Below are 21830 nucleotides of genomic sequence, written 5' to 3'. Positions count from 1 at the left end.
CATGTTTGGGGAATTTGAGATTTGAGTTCTGGGCTGAGTGGATGAGGCCTCAAAAAGCAAGTCTTATTGAGCTGTGGCCACAGAGACACTGATCAGAATGGGAAGGCTGTGCTCCTTCCCCCCTCCTCACTCTGATGTAACTTTACACAAACCTCAGCTCCGGGCTGCTGGTTTTCATCATTAGATACATCTGGAGATGAATTTTGGATACATGTGGACTCTTTAAGGCATTTACAAAGCACTTTATAGAAATTCAAAGGTTGTGAGGGCAAGACTGAGAGAAGGTGGGTATGACATGTAAGACCTCATGCCAGCTGGGCTCATCCACAGCTGCAAGGGCCTTCACCTATCCAAAGATGTTGTTAAGGATCAACTGAAGGTCAGCGACGTGGGTGAATCTCATAGGTGTAAGGATGAGTGAAATGTGCCAAACATAAGAGTGTATACAGCAGGATTATTTTCATAAAAACTACATGAACAGGGCTTGGTGCAGTGTCTCACACCTTTAATGCCAGCAGTTTGGGAGGCCGAGGCAGAAGGATCACTTAAGCCCAGGAGTCCCAGGAGTTGGAGGTTATAGTGAGATATGATTGTGCCACTACAGCCTGGGCAACAGAGCAAGATCCTGTCTCTAAAAAACAAACAAACAGACAAACAAACCACCACAACAACAAAACTACAGGAATACGCAAAACTAATCTATTCTGTTAAGTCAGGAGAGTAGTTACCATTGGTGACAGTGAGTAACGTCTGGAATAAAAAATGAGAGACTTGGGAAACTAGTAATGCTGGTAATGTTTCTTCTTCAGGGTACTGTTTATAGGGGTATGTTCAGTTTGTGAAAATGTATCCAGCTGTTCACTTTCTGTATGTATATTTCAAGAAAAACATAATTTATGTTTTGAACTGTAAATTATGTTTCTGTTGAAACATACATACAAAGTGAATATACTATAAGTGTACAGCTGGATACATTATGTAAATTATGTTTACTGAGGGGCAGTTCCATGTACATTGACATGTAACTATCTCCAAGGTATAGAGTTAAATGGGAAATGCAAGAAACAAAACAGTATGTATAGTATGCTATACATATATTATACATATATGACTCATACAAATAATGTAATTGTACATGCATAGAACATCTTTGGAAGGACACTAGGAAGAGTGGTTGCCCCTGGGGTACCTAGAGACAGAGGTAGAAGGAGAACTTGCTCTTTTATTCTATGCCTTTTGAATTTTGTATCATGCACTCAAATATTTTACTCAATAAAATTATTCATTAGATATTAATTAATTAATAAGGAAGACTTGCTAAGTGCAACAAACCCATCACCAATCCCAAAAGCACAAATACTATATTATTCTACTTCTATGAGGGACCTACAGTGCTCAAATTTATAGAGACAGGAAATAACATAGTGATTGCCAGGGGCTGGAGGAAGGGGAGCATGGAGAGTTAATGTTTAATGGGTACTGAGTTTCAGTTTGGGATGATGAGAAAGTTCTGGAGATGGATGGTGGTGATGGTTGCACAACAATGTGAATATACTTGATGCCACTAAGCTGTACACTTAAAAATTATTAAAAAGATAAATTTTATGTTGAGTATATTTTGCCACAAAATATTTTAATATGTGAATTAAGGCTAAACAGCCATTTTACGATTAGTGTAAATTTATGTATTGGCTCTACCACTTGCAAGCTGTGTTTTAACCTCCCCATGTCTCCATTTCTTTGTTTCCTTATCTGGCAAGTCGGGTAGTATTAGTACCACCTTAAGGGGCTGTTGTAAGAATTAAATGAAAGAATACATGTAAAATGCTTAGAATAGTCCTTGGAACATAAGTGCTTAAGAAATATTATCATTATTGTTTTTTATTATATGTTGTGAAGTAGGAAAGCAAATTACAGAATTATCTCTGTAATACCATCCCCTTTATACTTTGTGGGGAGAATACATGCATATGTGTGCATGCGCACGTACCTAATGTACTCACGCATCCGTCATGTATTGATCAAATACTGTGTGCTGGACATTGTGCTAAGGGTTGGGCAGACACTGGTGGTGTCAGGGTGGAGAATGGTGATGGTGGTGGGGTTGTTTAAATAGAGAAGTCACAGGAGACCTCTCTGAGTAGTTGACAATTCCGAGAAGGTTGTAGCAGCCATGAGGGAGCCATGCAAAGAGGAGAAGAGCTTCCCAGACAAAGGCGGTATCATGATGTGAGATGCCAAGTTGGAAGGCCTCTTGTGGGTGAGTAAAAAAGAGGATTGTCAGAGGAGGTTGGAATATACATAGGCAATTCTAGAAAGATGGAGAAGAAACTGTTAATAGTGGTTTCCGCAGGGAAGTATTCAGGGAGGTGTGGGAAGGAGGGTGTGGAGTGGAGAAAAGGAATTTTACTTCTTACTTTATTCCCTTCTCTACAGTTTGAATTATGTACCATAAGGATGTATTTTGTCATTAGAAAAAAAGGCTGGTTAATAAAAAATTGAGGAACCTTAATCATTAATAGTAAGAAATCTAATAGCCTTTCCTTCTTTCAAGAATCACCTCATCTCAACTCTCCAGTTACTTTTCATGAAGCGAGAGTGTAATGTCATTTATATCTACTCATTGGTCTGAAAGTAGGGCAGAGGTTACCTTCTGCTATCTATTCAGTAATCTTTTTCTTTGAGTCAGTAATGGCTTCTTCTAATTCCCTTCTGTGAAACTCCTGAACCATCTTTTCCACTAGGACTATTTTTACTCTTTTTTTAAGGGATTTCAAATTCATTTAAGATTCTTACTTTGGGTCACTGCAATAACAGACATATGCAGGAGCAGCTACTCAGCCTTTCCAGTTGGAGTAGAATGGGGACAAGGAATGACCAAAAGAGACTGAGGTCAAAGGAAGAACTAAAGCACTGTCCCTCAAAATGCATTCTGGAAGCTCCATTGGGCTGGGTGCTTTACTTCTCTGGATCTCCCCTGGGGTCCCCAGAGCCTTACTAAAGTTAGGGTTTCTCTGTAGAGTGTTCTGAAAAGCAGAGAAAGCTTTTCCTTGTCCAAATGGAATCCCAGCAGTGGTTAAGATTGCTTAGACTCATACCCATGAATCAAGGCAATGGATGATGTCTTCTAGGACAGATGTCAAAACCAGCTCTGAGGCAAGGTGCGGTGTGAGCAGGGAGAGGGTAGGCTAGATGTCTCCTAGCATTTTCAATCCTCTAAACTGAGCTACAGTCAGAAAGGAGGAAAACAGAGCATCTGATCTGTCTGTGGCCTGCCTCACTGAGAATTTCATTGCCTGCACGGCAGCAGGAGAAATAAGGTGAATAACACCAATTTGAAACCCCATGCTTGGCTATGTGTATGCCCATCCCGTACTCCAAATATCTCTCCTGCATCCCCTTTGTTAATTCCCTGGACATTTTTATAACTGTTTCCAACCGGAAGAAGTGCATGAATTGATACTTTGGCATCAGGCTAGATGTGCCACTCGGGTTTCTTCTCTCCCAAGCTGCCCCTCCTGCTGTGTGTGTGTGATGTCTAAAGGCCTCCCCATCTGGACACTCACCCACGGCATTGGACATTTTCCTTTCAGGTTTATCCCACGCAGTCCTATTCCAGGAATGCCTCCTCTTCCCCACACCACTTAGTGTGTAGACAACTCACTCTGCCAACAATAAGCAATAGTATGAACAATAAACTAGTATTTATTGAGCACTTATTATGTGTCAGGCTGTATTCTAACTACTTTATGTGGATTAACTCACTCCCCATCCAGTTCTCTGAAGAAGGTGTGGTTATTGTCTCTGTTTACAGTTGAGGAAACTGAGGCACAGAGTGGATGCTTTCATGGCATTTCTCTTCTGCCAGTGATCTCCACTCTGTGAGCGAGCCAGCCAGTCTCTGCGTTTAGCCAGCGCCTGCCACAGGGGTCTGGCTCTTAGTGAATGATTGCTCCTGGATCTCCCAAACTCTTCATATACTTTCACATCCTGAGCAAAAAAATGCTTCCCAAGATTCCTCCTGCCAGCTCCATCTGTGAAACTTGTGGGCCGGTATTTGAATAAGAATGACTAAAGGGGGAAGAGGTTTTATGAACTTCAGACTGTGAACTCAAGGAAGAGAGTGAGTCAGGCCTCCACATTCCTGAAATACTTTCAGGAGGCTCAGTGACCTCAGACAATAAGAACCTGAGGCAGAATGTCCTTGGGAGGCCCCCCACCAGGAAGAACGTGAGGGCAGATGCTCTGCTGTGCTGCCTTCTGTGGTTCCATGCGCAGTGTGTGGGTTGAAGGAAACCACTAGCCAGAGGCCCAGGCCTACCGAGAGCGCTGCCTTGGTTTTGCCCAGGCTGACTCCTCTCCCTGGAATGCTTGACCCCAAATGCTTGTGAGCTTGTCATCCCAGACTCAGCTCATGTGTCACCTCCTCTGTCTGCTACAGGTAGAAGAGGCTTTGTGGTTGGGACACCACAGGGAATTGCGCTTGCTTCTCTCACTCCTAAACGCCCTAGAAAAACATTGCTTTCAACATGTGTGCCCAATACATTCTTCATACCTACTGAGGTTGGCAACAGCTCCAAGGTTGAGGAGTGAGCCCTGTGCCGGGGGTGTCAGATGTGGGTGCTAGTTCCATCTCAGGCCTGGGCCTTGTAACCTCCCACACCTCAAACTCTTCCTGATTAAAATGATATGTTTTGATCTACCTCTCCTACAGATGGTGACCTTCTGAGGTACAGAGACTTTTAACCCAGGCGCTATTTTCAGAGCGGAGCAGGCACATAGCTATTCAATAAGTTTAAATAATTACAAATCTTTCTCCCCAGCTTCTATCTCCGTCCATCTCTTTCCTCACCAAGCTTAAACCCATGATTGGTATGAGGTGCAACCATCCACAAAGGGAAAGTATCATCCGCTAATTTTTTTTAAAGGTGCTTTCTTGTGTTTCTCATGTGTGCGTGCGTATGTGCATACATGCATGACTGTGTGTGTGTGTGTGTGTGTGTGTGAACAGAGCAAACGAGAGGCTGCACTAGGCTGAGCTCACCACAGGGGTGAATTGTAAAGAATGAGTCTCACCCAAGATGAAAATGTTACCTCAGGAATTCTTCCATGATCTTTGAGCAGGGAAGGAGTGAAAGGGTATAGCTGGGGCCCATCCTATGGACTGAAAAGCTGAGGGAGCACATTCAGTCAAGCACATCCTCCAATAGCTGCACCACTTTCCAACAGAAACAAGGGAAGGGTGGCAGAAGAAGTAGAACTAACTAGGCTGTGGGTTACTGCCCTAAAGGCCAAGATGTAAAGCCATAGAGAAAAGTGCTTTCAATTGTAGGCTCGTGAAAGCTACTGAGATTGGTGACTGCACCAGTGCCAAGGAAAAAGCCCTGCCTGGGGGTGGCAGGTGTGGGTTCTAGTGCCATCTAGTGCCATGCCATCTCTGGTGCTAAGGAAGTTGGTGGGCTTGGCCGTGTCGTATAACCTCCCGTGTCACTTCATGTGGATAGTGAAGATATTGGGTTGATGACGGGTTTAACTGAGGTTTTGTCACTCCTGCTCACCTCCCCTGCTCTCCTGTGTCATCCACACAAATGTTGTTTCTGCATTGGCCAATCTGGGACTCGTCCTTGCCTCCACTTTCACCCTCCAAGAGAGGAAGGAGGGAATGTGGGTAAATGCAGGTGCACACGGCACACATTCCATCAGGCAAATGGGAGTTGAGTGACATAAAGAGTTGGAAGTCCACTTTCAGGCTGGACAGGGAGGTCCTCTTCCTCCATCCCGTCTTTACCTCTATTCTTGCCCACCAGCCCAATCCCTGCAGCCCTGCCCAGGGCTGGTCTTTCCCTCATTCTGGCTGAGCAGTGGAAGTTGCCTGAGGAAGCTCAGTCCTGCCATCCCAACCAGAGCTGCCCTGGTTCACTTTGCTGCACCTGCCAGACCTCCCAGGTAGTTAATGATCCCCTGGGCAGAAGAGCCTTTTAATAATTTACCAGAGTAGATAAAGAAAAAAGCATAGTTCTCTACTTGGAGGCCAATTACACTGGCAATCCAGACAGTATAGATGGAGTTAAGACTAACTTCAAGTTCAAACTCAATTTTTTTTTGTATGGGAACCCTGCCTTATAGCTATTTATATGAAGTCTTATCAGAACCTTCATCCAGATATTTAAACATCCCAGCCCTACTGTATGATCAGCACTTTCGGGCTCCTTCACTAGTCAGGAGAACTCACTATATAAAGCAAAAGAAACCAAAATACCCTAGAACAAAATGAAATTTAAACACTTAAAGAACTCCAGAGAAAGAAAAGTGATTTTGCATTGTCTAACTATTTGAGTTCCTTATTAGAATTTGAAAAACACTCTTCTGCAGGGAATTATATGTTTCCTTGAGTCAAAAGTAGACTCAGAGCCAGTATGGTACAGTGGAAAAAAACACCTCCTTTGGAATTAAAGAGACCTAGGTTGAAATCTTGCCTTCAGCTAAGATTGAGACTAAGAAACTTATTGAGGCTCTGTGAATCTCATTTTTCTTATCTCTTCAGTGGGAGCAATAATTCTGTCCTTGGGATTTTTATATAAATTTTAATCATGAAAAGAAAAACCTAGGATACTGTAGACAGTAAATGATGTATCATTGTCATCACCATCATCATGGAGCCCATATCCTGAAAAATTTGAATTTTTATAAAGATGTGAGCAAAAATCTTCCCTCTCAAAAGTGTAACAATGACATCTAATAAGGATAAATGTGGTAGACTGTGACATTGGCAGTCCCCAGTGAACTACCTCCCAGTGTCTATGGCTTTATATAGTTCCCTTCCACCTTGATGCTGGGCTTGATCATGTGACTTGTTTTAACCAACAAGGTGTTAGTAAGTTTGGAGCAATCAGAGGCTTAATAGGTTCTTGTACATCGAGGCTTGTCTTCTTGTGACACTCCCTCTTAGAAGCCAGCCCCTTGGCTGTAAAGAAACTCAGGGTAGAATACTGAGTGATGAAAAGCCACAAGGAGAGAGACCCCAGAGGATGAGGAGTCATTTGGAACATTCTAGCCCCAGCCAAGCTCCCACCTGCATGAGTGACCGCATGAGTAACTTCCCAGCTGAACTTCATCAACCAACAAAATTGTGACAATTATAAATTGTTGTTGTTTTAAGCCACCCAATTTTGGAAGGGTTTGTTACATAAATGTCAGGTCCTAAATTTACATTAAGGAAAGTCAACACTACAAGTAGAACTGACAGATTCTTCTTATAGAAGGTCACATGAAATAGACCATGAGATTGCAGTTAACCATAAACATTGACATACTGCTAAGAAACTACATGCAAGCTTACCGTACTTACATTAAACAGATGTACTGGTTGATTGACCATACAGTTATTGAGTGCCTGCTGGCTCCTAGGTTTTGTGCTGGGAGCTAGTAATACCAAGAAAGTTAAAACAATTCTCCTATACTGTGTTGTCTCTTGGATTCTGAAATTTACATCTGCCCTTTAATTCAGCTTGGGGATTGGGGGTTGGGGGTGTGAGGACCAAGAGAGCAAGAAAGTAAGTGCTCATGGTTCAGGAGGGAGGGTGGATTTGTAAACAGAAGTCCACTTCAGGATCCTACAGGAGCTAATAGACTTGCTGCAGTTGGCACTCAGGGAAGACCTGGAGGGTTCTGTTACCCTATCAATATCTCAGTTTTAGAGTGACCTTAACAGACTGAGGTGTATTTGGAAGCAAGCAACCAGGGAAATGAAAGTCCTGAAGACAGATCATGTGAAGAATAATTGTAGCTGCTGTGTTTATCCTAGAAAGAAATAAAAGGTTGAGAGTGCACGTGGGGAAGAAGCACCTAATTTAGAGGTCTTAAATATGGCAATATGAAAGAGGATTAAATTCATTCTGAGGAATGCTGGAAGGAAAAACCTAAACAGTTACTGAAAGCTATAAGGAGATGGATGTCAAGCTAATAGTCAGAAGAGTGGCTAACACTTCTGGAGTATGAGCTGTGGAAAGAGGCAGAGCAGGCACCAACTCCATCAGTGACAGAGGCCTGGACCACCTCTGGCCGAGGAGGTGGGAAAGGGGTCTGGCAGTCGGTGGAGCCAGGGACCTCCAAGTCACTTCCAAGTGTAAGGTCTCACAGTTCACCCCATGAATTATAGCATCCTTATCCCGACTAAATAGTGTTAAGAAGTAAAACAGGTGGCCCCGCCTGCCTATCGTGAGTGGGAGAATTGTCCACAGATGATGACTGGACTCAGCTCTAGCCCTAAGGAGTTAGCCCAGGAGATTACGGATTAAGGAGTTAGCCCTGATATCTGAACCCAGGAGACTGAGCTCAGAGATTAGGGATAAGATGACTGAAGCCTCAGAGAGACACATGGGCACTGCCTCTAATGTCTCTCACCACTTTGAAGGGGTCATGAGAGCTTGTGTATTCCAGGGATTATCATACCCTGGGGGCAGATGCAGAGAAACAGGCCAGGCACATATGGACATCCAGGTTTCTCAAGCATATGACAATTTAGGAAGGACCAGGAAAGGGGACTAAGCAAGTATCAGGACGTCATTGGTCATTTCTAAGTGGGTATCACAACCCTGTGCTGGGACCATGCTCAGTGCTCCTAACTGGCCCTCTCCTGCTTCTCTCGCCTTCTAGCCTGCAAAACTACAGGAGCAAAGATCTTTTCAGGGGCCCCATTTCCTGTCAGTGGGTGCTGCAACACCAGCAGCAGCAGGACAAAAGAGAGGAGTGCAGGCTCAGAGGTTTGTGGGAAACAGGAGATCTGGGAGATCAAGTTTAGATTTCTCTGGAGACCTTGCAATTATGGGCCCAGGCAAGGGAAGGCTTCAGCCTCCCCGTAACTGACTCAGGGTAGGAGTAAAGGGGGAGGCTGCAGAGCGCCCTCTGTCTGACCGTTCCCTGGTCCCCGTGGTCTCACACACCTGTGCCTTTGTACATGTTGCCTCACTACCTGGTGACTCTTTGCCCTTTCCTTTTCTCCCAACACCCAACTTCCAGATTCTACCCCAGGTAAAACCTTCCCCAACTCTCTCAGGAAGGAGCAGCCTCCGACCTGCATGGTATCATGCAGCAGAGCTTACTGTAACTAGACTGAGTTTCTCAAGGCCAGAGGCTGAGTCTTGGGCATCTCTGCAGTCCCCAAAAGAGTTGGCACAGAACCTGGGATGCCTCAGTTGCTCAGTACACAGGGGTTGAATGTGTGAAGCATGTGTGAAGCACATTCCTTGCCCCTGCACACATGTGGCATGCCCACTGATGCCCTGTTGTGTGCAGCGTGCATCTCTCTGTGGTCCATCTCTCAAAAGTTGGAATGAAACTGGTCAGAAGTAACTTTATTCTAAAATAAAGTGAAATAAAGCAACACGTGGTTTCCATTTACTACTTTCACAGCAGGGAAGCCCTGGCACCTGGGGAAGAGGTTTAGTCTAACTGGGGCCTGAGCAGAACAGGAACCCTCAAGGGAGAGAGGCAAAAACCCTTCAAGCCACTGACCCAGCACAAAGACTCTACTGTGGGGAAACCCAATATAAGGGTGTGCCTTGTTCTAAGGGAACAGGATACGCAAAAATCCAAAGTTATAAAATAGATAAATCAGGGAGTGGTTATTGACGTTACCAGAGAACTCACCAGAAGGTTCCCCGAAATAGCCAGCTCCCACAATCCACTTAAACTGTGATTTTACTTTCAGAAGTTTGATATTACATACTGGTTTTCAGGAGAAACATAAATAGGTTCCCAGGGAGCCCAGCATTGCAGTGTGTCTGGCCAGCAGCTGGTTGACCAGGCCTTAAGGTGAGAGGCCTCGAGCTGCTCCAAGTGCTGGAGAAGCTGTAGTTCGGAAGCTCCCTCCCCGCCTGCTCCAGGGCACATCAGACTCAGCGAGTCTGGCTGTTTCCAATGTTAGTCCCAATAGGAAGAACAAGGCCCAATCGGGACCTTCCTGCCTCTACTTGAGTGGGCTGGTTGATTACTCAGTGCACTTTTCTGTTGAGAGAGCATAGGATTTATATTAACTATTCACTTTTCTTTCATTCATTAGAGTGTTTTACAGTGTATTTTCTATGTGTATGACACTGTGCTAGGCACTGCAAAGTACAGAAAATTATAAGTATGTTCTCTGCCCTCTAGGAACTCACAGTCTAGTTGGAGAAGAAAGCCTTTGGATTTTGTTGATTCTAGAAAGTACTTTTCAAAAAATCCTTTAACAGTTCTGAAATCAGAATCCATCTTACTGCAGATGGCATGCCATAGTCTAGTTGGCTGGTTTTTCTTAGTGGTATGTAAAAAGATAGCGTATCTTGAAATCGTCAGGGTCTTATGCAGATGAAACAGGGTGTATGAAAATGCTAAATACACTTGTCCCTTGGTATCTGTGGGGGATTGGTTCCAGGACCTCCATGGATACCAAAACCCATAGAGGAAATGCTCAAATAACTTATATAAAATGGCATACTATTTGCATATAACCTATGCACATCCTCCTTTATACTTTAAATCACCTCTAGATTACTTATATATACCTAATACAATCTACATGCTATGTAAATAGTTGTTATACTGTATTGTTTAGGGAAAAATGACCAAAAAAGGTCTGAACATGTTCAGCACAGACACTACCATCAACTTTTTTTTTCTGGATATTTTTTATTCATGGGTGGTTGAATCCATGGATGCAGAACCTAGGGATATGGAGGGCTGACTGTAATGGTTTAATGACACAAGACTCCAAGTGGGATTTGATGTCCTCTTTGTGAATACACCTCATGGGTTTGCCTTTCAGAGAATATGTGTCATAAGCTTAAATTAAGTTATCCAGGGAAGCTGGGATGGAGAGGCCTCACCCATCCTCCAATCTGGGAGCACAAAATGGTGGTAGCCCAACCCTGGTTCCCTTCCATATGGGCCATGGGAAAACCAGAGTGAAGCAGCAGGAACAGGTCTAGGTGGCAGCTCTTCAGCTATGACATGACAAGATATGTGCTGATTCTCTGACTCCTAGATGGCAAGTCCTCATACATCTGTGCCTCCCAGTGCTTAACCTGTAACAGAAATATAAAAGACATTTCTGTGTGTATATGAGCATAGATATAGACGTACAGATATATAAATATGGATATAGATATAGATAGATATTATATTAGTCTGTTCTCACACTGCTATACAGAGCTACCTGAAACTGGGTAATTTATGTAAAAAGAGGTTTAGTTGACTCATAGCTCCACAGGCTGTACAGGAAGCATGGCTGGGGAGGCCTCAGGAAACTTACAATCATGGCAGAAGGGCAAAGGGAAAGCAAGCACATCTTCACATGGTGGCAGGAGAGAGAGAGCAAAGGAAGACTTGCTACACACTTTCAAACAACCAGATCTCAGGATAACTCACAAGAACAGCAAGGGAAAAATCCACCCCCATGACCCAATTGCCTCCCACCAGGTCCCTTTGCCAACAGTGGGGATTACAATTCGACATGAGATTTGGGTGTGGACACAGAGCCAAACCATATCCGATATATAGATGTATGTCAAATGAATGAATTTCTGTGATTGAGGCCAAAAGTTTATTATAAAAAGGGTGCAATATGACTTCTAATCTTAGCTTCTTGGCCAAAATTCAGAAAAATTCCTTGCAATCTGTCTAATGTTACAGGGGATTTCTTCCTTTTCTTTTTTTGGCTTCACCATTCCTCACCCAAAAAAGCAGTGGCTCCTGTTGCTGGTGCTGAACCGTGGCCATGTTCTATTTATTTAAATGGCTGTGTTTACATAGCATGCCAAGGGACCTGGCTTCAAACTTATGAGAGCAGAAGGAGAATGTACAGCTTCTAGCAGACACTGAGAGCAACCACAGGAATTAAATACGTTCTTAGGATATGCAAACACCTGAAATGGTTTAGACCAAGTGTATTGACATAATAATATAATCCAAATTCTTAATTCAGTTATCATTATTAATATGGCACATAGAGACTATGAACTGCTTTATCATTCTTGCCCATACAGAATGTTAAGACACTTGCTGTTTATACCTTTTTTGACATGCACTTTGTTTGCAAGTGTAGCAATAATAGTTCTTTTGCACCTGGGGAATAGGTGAGGTTTAAGGAGCCAGAATGGAGCTGCTTCTGTGGCACTTTGTTTACCTATCACATTGCTGCAGGCTTTAAAATCCTGGACGAGAGAGCTGTGCACAGCTAGTGGTAAGTAGGAACACTACTCCAGGAGGAACCGGAAGCTGTTAAGGAGCTGGCCTCCTGCGGGAATCTGACCTGTGGCACAGACGCAAGAGCATCAGGTGGCAGTAACCAAGTCATCCAGGCTTCCTCTCTCTGGTTGTTTTGCCTTTGCTGTTGGGTCCAAGGAGTCAACTGGGGCTGTCCTGGGTGACTCACCAGTGGGTCAGGCCCAGGCTGGGTCCTGTCGGCCTGAGACCAACCTGTCATAGCAGTCTGCTCTCTTGTCCCAGATGATGTGGTGTCCTGTCTGCACTCAGCTGTGTCCAGCTTGTATCTGATGGTGCCAGTGCTAATTCACCCTCTGCCGGCTGGCAGCTCGTATTACCGTGGAGATGGGGGATTTCCAAAGATACCTCCCATGGAAGGGACAGGCCTGTCCGCATCACCAGGGCACATCTCCCATCTCCTATAGGTCCCTGTTTTTGCTTTTTCTCTTATTAGCCATAAAAAACAAGATGCAAAATGGCTGTTACTACTCAGATCTTGCATGAGGCTATAAATTTGCTGACTTTGAGAGTACCCCAAGGCTTCCAATATGGTGGTGTTTTCCACTTCGGGAGTTAACCCCAAATAGTAAACTCTTACTCATCCTTCCAGACCCACTCCAAATGTTTTGTCTTCTGTGAAGCTTTCTCTGACTACCCTCTATGCTCTCATATTACTAGGTTCTCTCGCACTGTTACAGTGTACCAGGATTATTTTTATACATGGACATTTCTGCTAGGTGTGACATCCTTGAGGCTCGGACGATGTCTTATTATTTCTTTGTTTGGCCACCTCGTCTGGCTGGCCTGTGGCCTGTCATGCACTATATACACTCAGCAAATGATAGGTAAATGAATGAAAGAATTATACTCCTGCCAAATATTTGTTTGTTTGTTCATTCATTCACATCTCAGAAAGTACTTTCTTCTCCTTTGGAGGTAGCCATTGTTGTATTATTTATGAAGTCAATAGGCAAATAAAGACCCAAGTATATCAGTTAGGATAGTTTTGGCTGCAAGTAACAGCTTAACAAAAAAAGTTTAAACAGTGGGGAGATTATTATCCACCAAACAAGAGGTCTGCATGGCAGCTGGGTCCACGGCCAGGTAATCCAGCAGCTCAAGGATCTCTTTAGGGACCCGGAGGTTTTTCCCTTGCTGCTCCACTATCTCCAGTGTGTCAGTCATGTCTCCTTCCTGGCTCAGGAAAGGTGATGTTCAGCAAAGAAGAAGGAATTTCTTCTACTGATCTCTTTTTATTATCAAGGATTTCCTTTCTCAGAAGTTTCTCTCCCCACAGAAGATTTCTCCTTCAGTATCATTGATCAATAATGAGTTACAACCCATCATTGAAAACGAAATGAGATCATCATGCAAGTCCTGATATTATCCTTTGGTTGAGGGTGGAGACAGGGGATTGCCTTCCCAGAACTTATGGGAGGAAGAACACCCAGACAGATCTGAGGCTTTGCTGACGAGGAGTCAAGGAGATGGGGTATGGCCTTTCGGTGGGCACAGCAGGTACAGCATTTAAATAACTATGGGACTTCAATAATGGAATGAAAGTCTATGAAACCATTACAAAGACTGAGGGAAAACTACATGGATCAACATTAAATGCCTTTCAAGGTATAATAAATGCAAAGCTGTATGTGTATTCTAATCTTATTTATTTATTAATTAATTATTAGTTAATGGCAAGTGGACACACCCCCCAAATCTGTAAGAATATACACTATATGCTTAAAAGTGGCTCTCCGTGCTGTGTGTGTGTGTGTGTGTGTGTGTGTGTGTGTGTGTGTGTGTGTGTGTGAGAGAGAGAGAGAGAGAGAAAGACGGGGGGCTTACTAGGAAGCTTCATGTTTGACATTCTGTATTTCTTGTAATACTGAATCTGTATAAGTATGCCTGCTTTTAAAGGGAAACCAACAACAACAGAACTCAAACATTAAAGAGAATATCTTAAATGGCCAAGTCTCGTCTTAAATGAAAGAGGTCAACTCAAGACATGGGCTCTTTTCCAAGAACAAACTAATTTGGAGGATAAGAGGGACCTGTCTGAAAGTTTCCCTTAGGAGCCCAGAATGTAAACTCCCACTGTGGATGAGCTCCTTTATTTTAACCAGCAAATACTCTTAACAGAAGAGCTGAGTTTTTACCACTCAGATCAATCTCCGTTTGCTAGAGAAAGGTGTTACCTCTGTTATGGGAAGTTGGTGGTGCTGATTCACCTCTAGGAAATCCATGGGCGGAAATCTTCCCAGGAGCCCGGTTGACACCAAGACCCTGTCTCCTAGACAGACCTCCCTGTGACCCAAGTGCCTTCCTGTGCCCCAAATGCCTTTGTCAGGGAGACAGTCAGAGAGTAAATCCTCTGGGGTCTACCTTTTACTTCATAAGTGGCTAACTAACTATAACTACTTGGACAAGTCTTCTATCTCTCGGAGTTCATTGAATGCCTCTGCAAATATAAGTATTCTTTATTTGATAGCACTGGAAATAAGGACTTTGAGTCATTAAAAAAATTTTAGAGCCAACCCCCTGGCTATCTGCAGCAATGCCCCTGGGAAGTCTCTTTGGTTACCATAAAAATAGATGGTTAAATTCAGCAGACGTTCAGGATGCAGTGTATATCTTTGATTAACTTATCCGGTGTCGGTTGGAAAATATGACATGGTATTATAAATGGAATAGGTACACTTCCCCACAAAAATACACAGACTGGAATTGTAGAAGGAAGCGGGGCTGGGCGGTGCGGCATGTTTACAGCAGCATGGTGATTTGAGATGGTCTCTATTCTTTCTTGAATTTATAACAGCATTTCCATGCCTAAAATTATTTTTCTAAGTACTTCCACAGTAAAAGGGGTGGTCCAGGTTGTGCTTTCTTTAGAAAGAATCTGAATTTTTAAAGATCATCTCTTCCTGCCCTTTAACCCCCCTGACCATGTGTGTGCATGTGCACGCGCGGGCACACACACACACACACACACACACCTGTTCTCCATCAATCTCTCTCTCTCTCTCTTTTTTTTTTTTTTTTTTTTGAGACAGAGTCTTGCTCTGTCACCTAGACTGGAGTGCAGTGGTGCGATCTCTGCTCACTGCAACCTTCGCCTCTCGGATTCAAGGGATTCTCCTGCCTCAGCCTCCCGAGTAGCTGAGATTACAGGTGCCCGCCACCACCCCCAGTTAATTTTTTTGTATTTTTAGTAGACTGGGTTTCACCATGTTGCCCAGGCTGTTTTTGAACTCCTGACCTCAAGTGACCCACCCCCTCAGCCTCCCAAAGTGCTAGGATTGCAGGCATGAGCCACCACGCCCAGCCTGTTCTCCATCAGTCTCTATGCTGGTGAACTGCAGAGCACCCACTCTCAGGAGAGAGCTGCAACTCAGCTCCCACCATGTACAAATTGCTCATATGTGTAAATTTTTCAAAGGAAGCTAGAAATTTTACTTTAAAAAAAAAAAAAACTCCCAGTTTTCAAACATTGGCAGCAAGCCAGTTTGTGTGTGTGTGTGTGTGTGTGTGTGTGTGTGTGTGTCAGAGTCTCACTCTGTCACCCAAGCTGGAGTATACTAGTATGAATCTATTTCACTACAGCCTCCACCTTCTGGGCTCAAGTCATTCTCCTGCCTCAGCCTCCCATGTAGCTGGGACCACAGGCATCCACCACAATGCCTGGCTATTTTTTTAATTTTTTTATAGAGACAGAGTCTCACTTTGTTGCCCAGGCTGCTCTTGAACTCCTGGGCTCAAGAGATCCTCCTGCCTTGGCCTCCTAAAGTGCTAGGATTACAGGCATGAGCCACTGTGCCCAGCCCAATCCAGTTTTATAAATGCCATGTATGCTGAACAAAACATGTCTATTTGTCAGATTCTAGTGGGACCACTAGCCTTGGACCTCTGCCCTGGGGCAATGTAGAACAAACTTGTTCTCTCTTCTCCAAAGGAGATCTGGAGGTGCTGTAAGATAGCTCTCAAATTCCTTTCAATCTATTCTTACTTGGTACTCACTCATTGACAAAACTTCAGGGAGTTTAAAATCTGGTGGGGAAACAGTTAAGCAGACAATCACAGTGGGGCGATATCATTGCTACAATGGAGATTTGTATGAAAGGACAGAGAAAGGTTCACTAATTGTGCAAGTGCTGGGCTGTGGCCTGCCATGTCCATGCAGATTTGGAGAGGGCCCTTCTCTAGAGCTCTTAGGAGGCTCTCCCTACAGTCTTCCACCCCATAGCCATCCTGACTGAGAGGTGGCTAGATCTTGCTGTTCTGCATGAAGCTTGAGGTCAGTGGCCCAGGAGCCTTTTTGAGGTATCCCCTGAATCTAGTTAATGCAAAATATATGCTGGAGCCCTTCCCCACACTTCTGTGGGCACAATGACAAGGCTGGGGAACACTAGGTATAATTCAGCAAAACTTCTGCTTTTCTGACTCTGCTAAAATTCATTCTAGTTTAGAGAGTGGGCAAGAATTTCTGCCTCTGAAAATGTTCCACTAGATGTGTACTTTGATGGTTAATTTTATATGTCAACTTGACTAGGCTATGGTGCCCATTTGTTTGGCCAAACACCAGTCTAGATATTGTTGTGATAGTATTTTTCACATGTAATTAACATTTGAATCAGTAGACTTTGAATAAAGCAAAGCATCCTGCCATAGTAGGGTGGCCATCATGTATTCAATTGAAGGCATTAAGAGCAAAGACTGAGGTTTTCCAAAGAAGAAAGAATTTGACTTCAAGATTACACCATAGAAACCATGCCTGAGCTTCCAGTCCACCTGGCCTGATCTGCAGATTTAACTCCAACCTGAATTCCAGCCTGCTGGCTTACCCCAAGGATTTTGGACTTGCCAGCCCCCACAACTGCATAAGCCAATTCCTTAAAATCTCTCTCTTCTGTTTCTCCAGAGAACCCTAATACAGGTACACCTGTCATGATATTTCTAAACCTAAAGCAAAAACACAAACTATTTCAAATACAAATGGCCTTTGACTCCAAACCCAGGTGGCACAGCTGTCTTTGATTTCTCTTTATGGCTGAAATGGGGAAAGTATCACTGGTTATTTCAGAAATTTTCAACCTGTTAACCAAGGCTTTTAAATAGTTTCCAATCTATTTATCTTTAAAAAACAGCTGAAGTGACAACTCCTCCAGGAAGCTCTCTTTGATCCCAGAACCAGGCAGTTGGTAACTCTCCTCCAGCCTCCTCTGTGCTCATTAGATTTGTTACAGAATATTTTTGGCTATGTAGTATAGACTGCTAGGTGTCCCCCAATACCTGTTCTCCCTTCTGTAGTATCAGGAGCTCTAATTTTCACGTAAGTACATAGCAACCTAGAGTAAAAACTACATTTCCTACCCTTCCCTGCAGCTAAGCGAGGCCATGTGCCATGAGGCAAACTAGGGAACAGAGGCCGTGCATGGTGAAGCAACAAAATAGCAGAGGCTATTTTGGCCTCAAACAATCCTCCTGCCTCAGCCTCCCAAATTGTTGGGATTACAGTCATGAGCCACCATGCCCACCTCTTAAGCCATTATGATTTGGATTTTCTGTTACTTATAGCTGAACCTAATCTTAACTCAATTTTGCTTACAGATATGCCTCCCTTACCACAAAGTAAAGGAACTGTGGTGCTTCTTTAACTACTGCATAGCCCTATGCCTGAAATATAGAGGTACCAGATAAGTGTCTAGTGACTGGATGTATGAAAGCAAGAAAAAAATGAAAGAATGGTTAGCAGTTGGCTAGAAAAAAGTCCAAGGTGAAGTAGAAGGAAAGCGTTGTGCCCGTGAGTGGGTGCCTTCTAATTTAGCTTCAGCATAAGACAACATATGTTCTATAAATTAGTGAGCATCTACTTTATGCTGGGCACAGTGTAAAGCAATTTTTCTTTTCTTTTCTTTTTTCTTTTTTTTTGAGGCAGAGTCTTGCTCTGTCACCAGGCTGGAGTGCAGTGGTGCGATCTTGGCTCATTGCAACCTCCACCTGCTGGGTTCAAGCGATTCTCGTACCTCAGCCTCCCAAGTAGCTAGGATTACAGGCACGTGCCACCATACTCAGCTAATTTTTGTATTTTTAGTAGGGACAGGGTTTCACCATGTTGTCCAGGGAAACTTCTGCTCCCATTCTTGAAGGGAGAGATGTAATAAATAAACAAGAAAATATCAGATAGTGCTAAGTGCTACGAGGAACATAAAACTTTTTAAATTTATTTTCAATTTTTGTGGGTACATGGAAGGTATATATATTTATGGACTACAAGAGATATTTTGATACAGGCATGCAATGCATAATAATCATATCAGGGTAAATTAAGTATTCATTACCTCAAGCATTTATCCTTTGTGTTACAAATAATCCAATTATACTCTTAGTTATTTTAAAATGTATAATTAAATTATTTTTTACTATAGTCACCCTGTTGTGCTAGCAAATACTAGGTCTTATTTGTTCTATTTTTTTGTACCTGTTAACCATCCCCACTTCCTCCTCAACCCTCCAATACCCTTTCCAAACTCTGGTAACCATCCTTCTACTCTCTATCTCCATGAGTTCAATTGCTTTAAATTTTAGCTTCCAGAAATAAGCAAGAACATGCAAAGTTTGACTTCCTGTGCCTGGCTTATTTTGCTTAACATAATAACCTTCCGTTCCATCCATGTTGTTGCAAATGACAGAATCTCATTCTTTCTTATGACTGAATAGAACTTCATTGTGTATATGTACCACTTTTTTCCTTGATACATTCATCTGTTGATGGACACTTAGGTTGCTTCCAAATCTTGGCTATTATGAACAGTGCTGTAATAAACATGGAAATGAATATATGATTTCCTTTCTTTGGGGTATAAATATTTATTAGGTCCATTTGGTCTGTAGTGGAGAAAGTCCAATGTTTCTTTGTTGATTTTGTCTCTGGGAGATCTGTTCAATGCTGAAAGTGGAGTGTTGAAGTCTCTAACATTTATTGTATTAAGATCTATTTCATTCTTTTTTTGTTTGTTTTGTTTTTGTTTTTTGTTTGTTTGTTTTTTGCAGAATATCAGATATTTTATTGTTATCAAGTAATCAGTGAGAGAGTTCCAGTTGGAGTGAGATCATCATGTATTTTCATTCTTTAGCCCTAATAATATTGGCTTTATATATCTGGGTGGTCCAGTGTTGGGTGCATATATGTTGACAATTGTTATAATATATTCTCTTGCTGAATTGACCCCTTTATTATTATTGAATGACCTTCTTTGTCTCTTCTTATAGTTTTTGTCTTGAAATCTATTTTGTCTGATATAAGTATAGGTATTCTTTTTTGGTTTCCATTGGCATCAAATAACTTTTTCCATTCCTTTATTTTCAGTCTACTTGTGTCTTTATAGGTGAAGTGTGTTTCTTGTAGGCAACAGCTCCTTGGGTCTTGGTTTTTTTTATTCATTTAGTCACTTTATGTCTTTTTATTGAATAATTTAGTCCATTTATATTCACTGTTATTATTGATAAGTAAGCCCTTACTCTTGCTATTTTGTAATTTGTTTTTTGGTTGTTTTGTCATCTTCTATTCCTTCTTTCCTTTTAGTGAAGATAATTTTGTCTGATGGTATGATTTAATTTCTTGCTTCTTATTCTATGTGTATCTATTACATGTTTTTTGACCTCCGATTACCATGAGGTCTGCAAATACTATCCTATAACCCATTATTTTAAGCTGATAACAACTTAGCACTGCTTATATAAACAAACAAGCAAAAATAAAACTAATAAAAACGCTACACTTCAACTTCAAGGCTTTTTGTTGTTTCCATTTATATTTTATTGTACTGTGTCTTGAAAAGTTGTTGTAGTTATTATTATTATTATTATTTATTTATTTATTTATTTATTTATTTATTTATTTGAGATGGAATCTCACTCTGTTACCCAGGCTGCAGTGCACTGATGTGATCTCGGCTCACTGCAACCTTCACCTCCCAGATTCAAGCAATTCTCCTGTCTCAGCCTCTCGAGTACCTGGGGCTACAGGCATAAGCAATCCCGCCTGGCTAATTTTTGTATTTTTAGTAGAGACAGGGTGTCACCATGTTGGTCAGGCTGGTCTTGAACTCCTGACCTCAGGTGATCCACCTGCCTCAGCCTCCCAAAGTGCTAGGATTACAGGCATGAGCCATCATGCCTGGCCTAGTTATTATTTTTGATTAGCTCATCTTTTATTCTTTCTACTTAACATAAGAGTAGTTTACACACCACAGTTAAACCGTTATAATAGTCTGTGTTTTTCCGTGTACTTACTATTCTCAGTGAGTTTTGTACCTTCAGATGATGTCTTATTACTCATGAACATCCTTTTCTTTCTGATTGAAGTACTCCCTTTAACATTTCTTGTAGGATAGGTCTGTTGTGATGAAATCCCTCAGCTTTTAATTGTCTGGGAAAGTATTTTTCCTTCACGTTTGAAGAATATTTTCACCAGATATACTATTCTAGGGTAAAAGTTTTTTCTCTTCAGCACTTGAAATATGTCATGCCACTCTCTCCTGACCTGTAAGGTTTGCACTGAAAAGTCTGTTGCCCAGCATATTGGACCTCCATTTTATGTTATTTGTTTCTTTTCTCTTGCTACCTTTAGGATTCTTTCTTTATCCTTGACGTTTGGGAGTTTGATTCTTAAATGCCTTGAGGTAATCTTTAGGTTAAATCTGCTTGTCATTCTATAACCTTCTTGTACTTGAATATTGATATCTTTCTCTAGGATTAGGAAGTTCTCTGTTATTATCCCTTTGAATAAACTTTCTAGCCTATCTCTTTCCATACTTCCTCTTTAAGGCTGATAAATCTTAGGTTTGCCCTTTTGATGCTATTTTCTAGATCTTGTAGGCATGCTCCATTCTTTTTTATTCTTTTTTCTTTGTCTTCTCTGACTGTGTATTTTCAAATAGCATATTGTATTAGCCTGTTTTAATGCTGCTGATAAAGACATACCTGAGACTGGGCAATTTGCAAAAGAAAGAGGTTTAATGGACTTACAGTTCCACATGGCTGGGGAGGCCTCAATCATGGTGGAAGGTGAAAGTCATGTCTCAGATGGTGGCAGACAAGAGAAGAGAGTTTGTGCAGGGAAACTCCCATTTTTAAAACCATTAGATCTCATGAAACTTACTATCACAAGAACAGCATGGGAAAGACCCACCCCCTGATTCAGTTAACTCCCACCAAGTCCCTCCCACAACACATGGGAATTATGGGAACTACAAGATGAGATTTGGGTGGGGACACAGACCCAAACCATATCACATATCTTCAAACTCACTAATTCTTTCTTCTGCTTGATCAATTCTGCTATTAAGAGACTCTGACACATTCTTTAGTATACCAATTGCATTTTTCAACTCCAGAACTTCTGCTTGATTCTTTTTAATTATTTCAATCTCTTTGCTAAATTTACTTAATAGAATTCTGAATTTCTTTTTTGTGTTATTTTGAATTTCCTCAAAACAGCTATTTTGAATTTTCTGTCTGAAAGGTCACATATCTCTGTTTCTCCAGCATTGGTCCCTGGTGACTTATTTAGTTTGTTTGGTGAGGTCATATTT

The 21830-nt window shown here is 42.2% G+C and overlaps 1 non-coding gene across 1 annotated transcript, besides 5 other annotated features; it reads right to left on the bottom strand.

Annotated features, from left to right (window-relative positions):
- Positions 3396 to 4261: an enhancer, noted in NCBI's record as "OCT4-NANOG-H3K27ac-H3K4me1 hESC enhancer chr1:86073063-86073928 (GRCh37/hg19 assembly coordinates)". NCBI's record gives its function as "activates a minimal SCP1, AML or CMV promoter by ChIP-STARR-seq in primed H9 embryonic stem cells {active_cell/tissue: H9 hESC(primed)}" and the evidence as "EXISTENCE:reporter gene assay evidence [ECO:0000049][PMID:30033119]".
- Positions 3396 to 5126: a biological region, named in NCBI's record as "P300/CBP strongly-dependent group 1 enhancer GRCh37_chr1:86072656-86073855".
- Positions 3469 to 4668: an enhancer, noted in NCBI's record as "P300/CBP strongly-dependent group 1 enhancer chr1:86072656-86073855 (GRCh37/hg19 assembly coordinates)". NCBI's record gives its function as "activates an origin of replication core promoter dependent on BRD2, BRD4, P300/CBP, MED14 and CDK7 cofactors, with strong dependence on P300/CBP, by STARR-seq in HCT116 cells {active_cell/tissue: HCT116}" and the evidence as "EXISTENCE:reporter gene assay evidence [ECO:0000049][PMID:35650434]".
- Positions 4262 to 5126: an enhancer, noted in NCBI's record as "OCT4-NANOG-H3K27ac-H3K4me1 hESC enhancer chr1:86072198-86073062 (GRCh37/hg19 assembly coordinates)". NCBI's record gives its function as "activates a minimal SCP1, AML or CMV promoter by ChIP-STARR-seq in primed H9 embryonic stem cells {active_cell/tissue: H9 hESC(primed)}" and the evidence as "EXISTENCE:reporter gene assay evidence [ECO:0000049][PMID:30033119]".
- Positions 13521 to 13815: a silencer, noted in NCBI's record as "tiled region #8792; HepG2 Repressive non-DNase unmatched - State 24:Quies, and K562 Repressive non-DNase unmatched - State 24:Quies". NCBI's record gives its function as "represses a minimal TATA promoter and a strong SV40 promoter by Sharpr-MPRA in HepG2 and K562 cells {active_cell/tissue: HepG2 | K562}" and the evidence as "EXISTENCE:reporter gene assay evidence [ECO:0000049][PMID:27701403]".
- LOC124900422 (small nucleolar RNA SNORD81) lies at positions 19285 to 19361 on the bottom strand. Its single transcript, XR_007067365.1, has one exon. It is a non-coding gene; the product is annotated as a small nucleolar RNA SNORD81 (small nucleolar RNA).
- Between the last annotated feature and the right edge of the window lie 2469 nt (positions 19362 to 21830).

The sequence above is a fragment of the Homo sapiens genome, chromosome 1 (genome assembly GCF_000001405.40).
Source record: "Homo sapiens chromosome 1, GRCh38.p14 Primary Assembly".
Classification (NCBI taxonomy): domain Eukaryota; kingdom Metazoa; phylum Chordata; class Mammalia; order Primates; family Hominidae; genus Homo; species Homo sapiens.
This window is presented reverse-complemented; position numbering and strand designations above follow the sequence as displayed.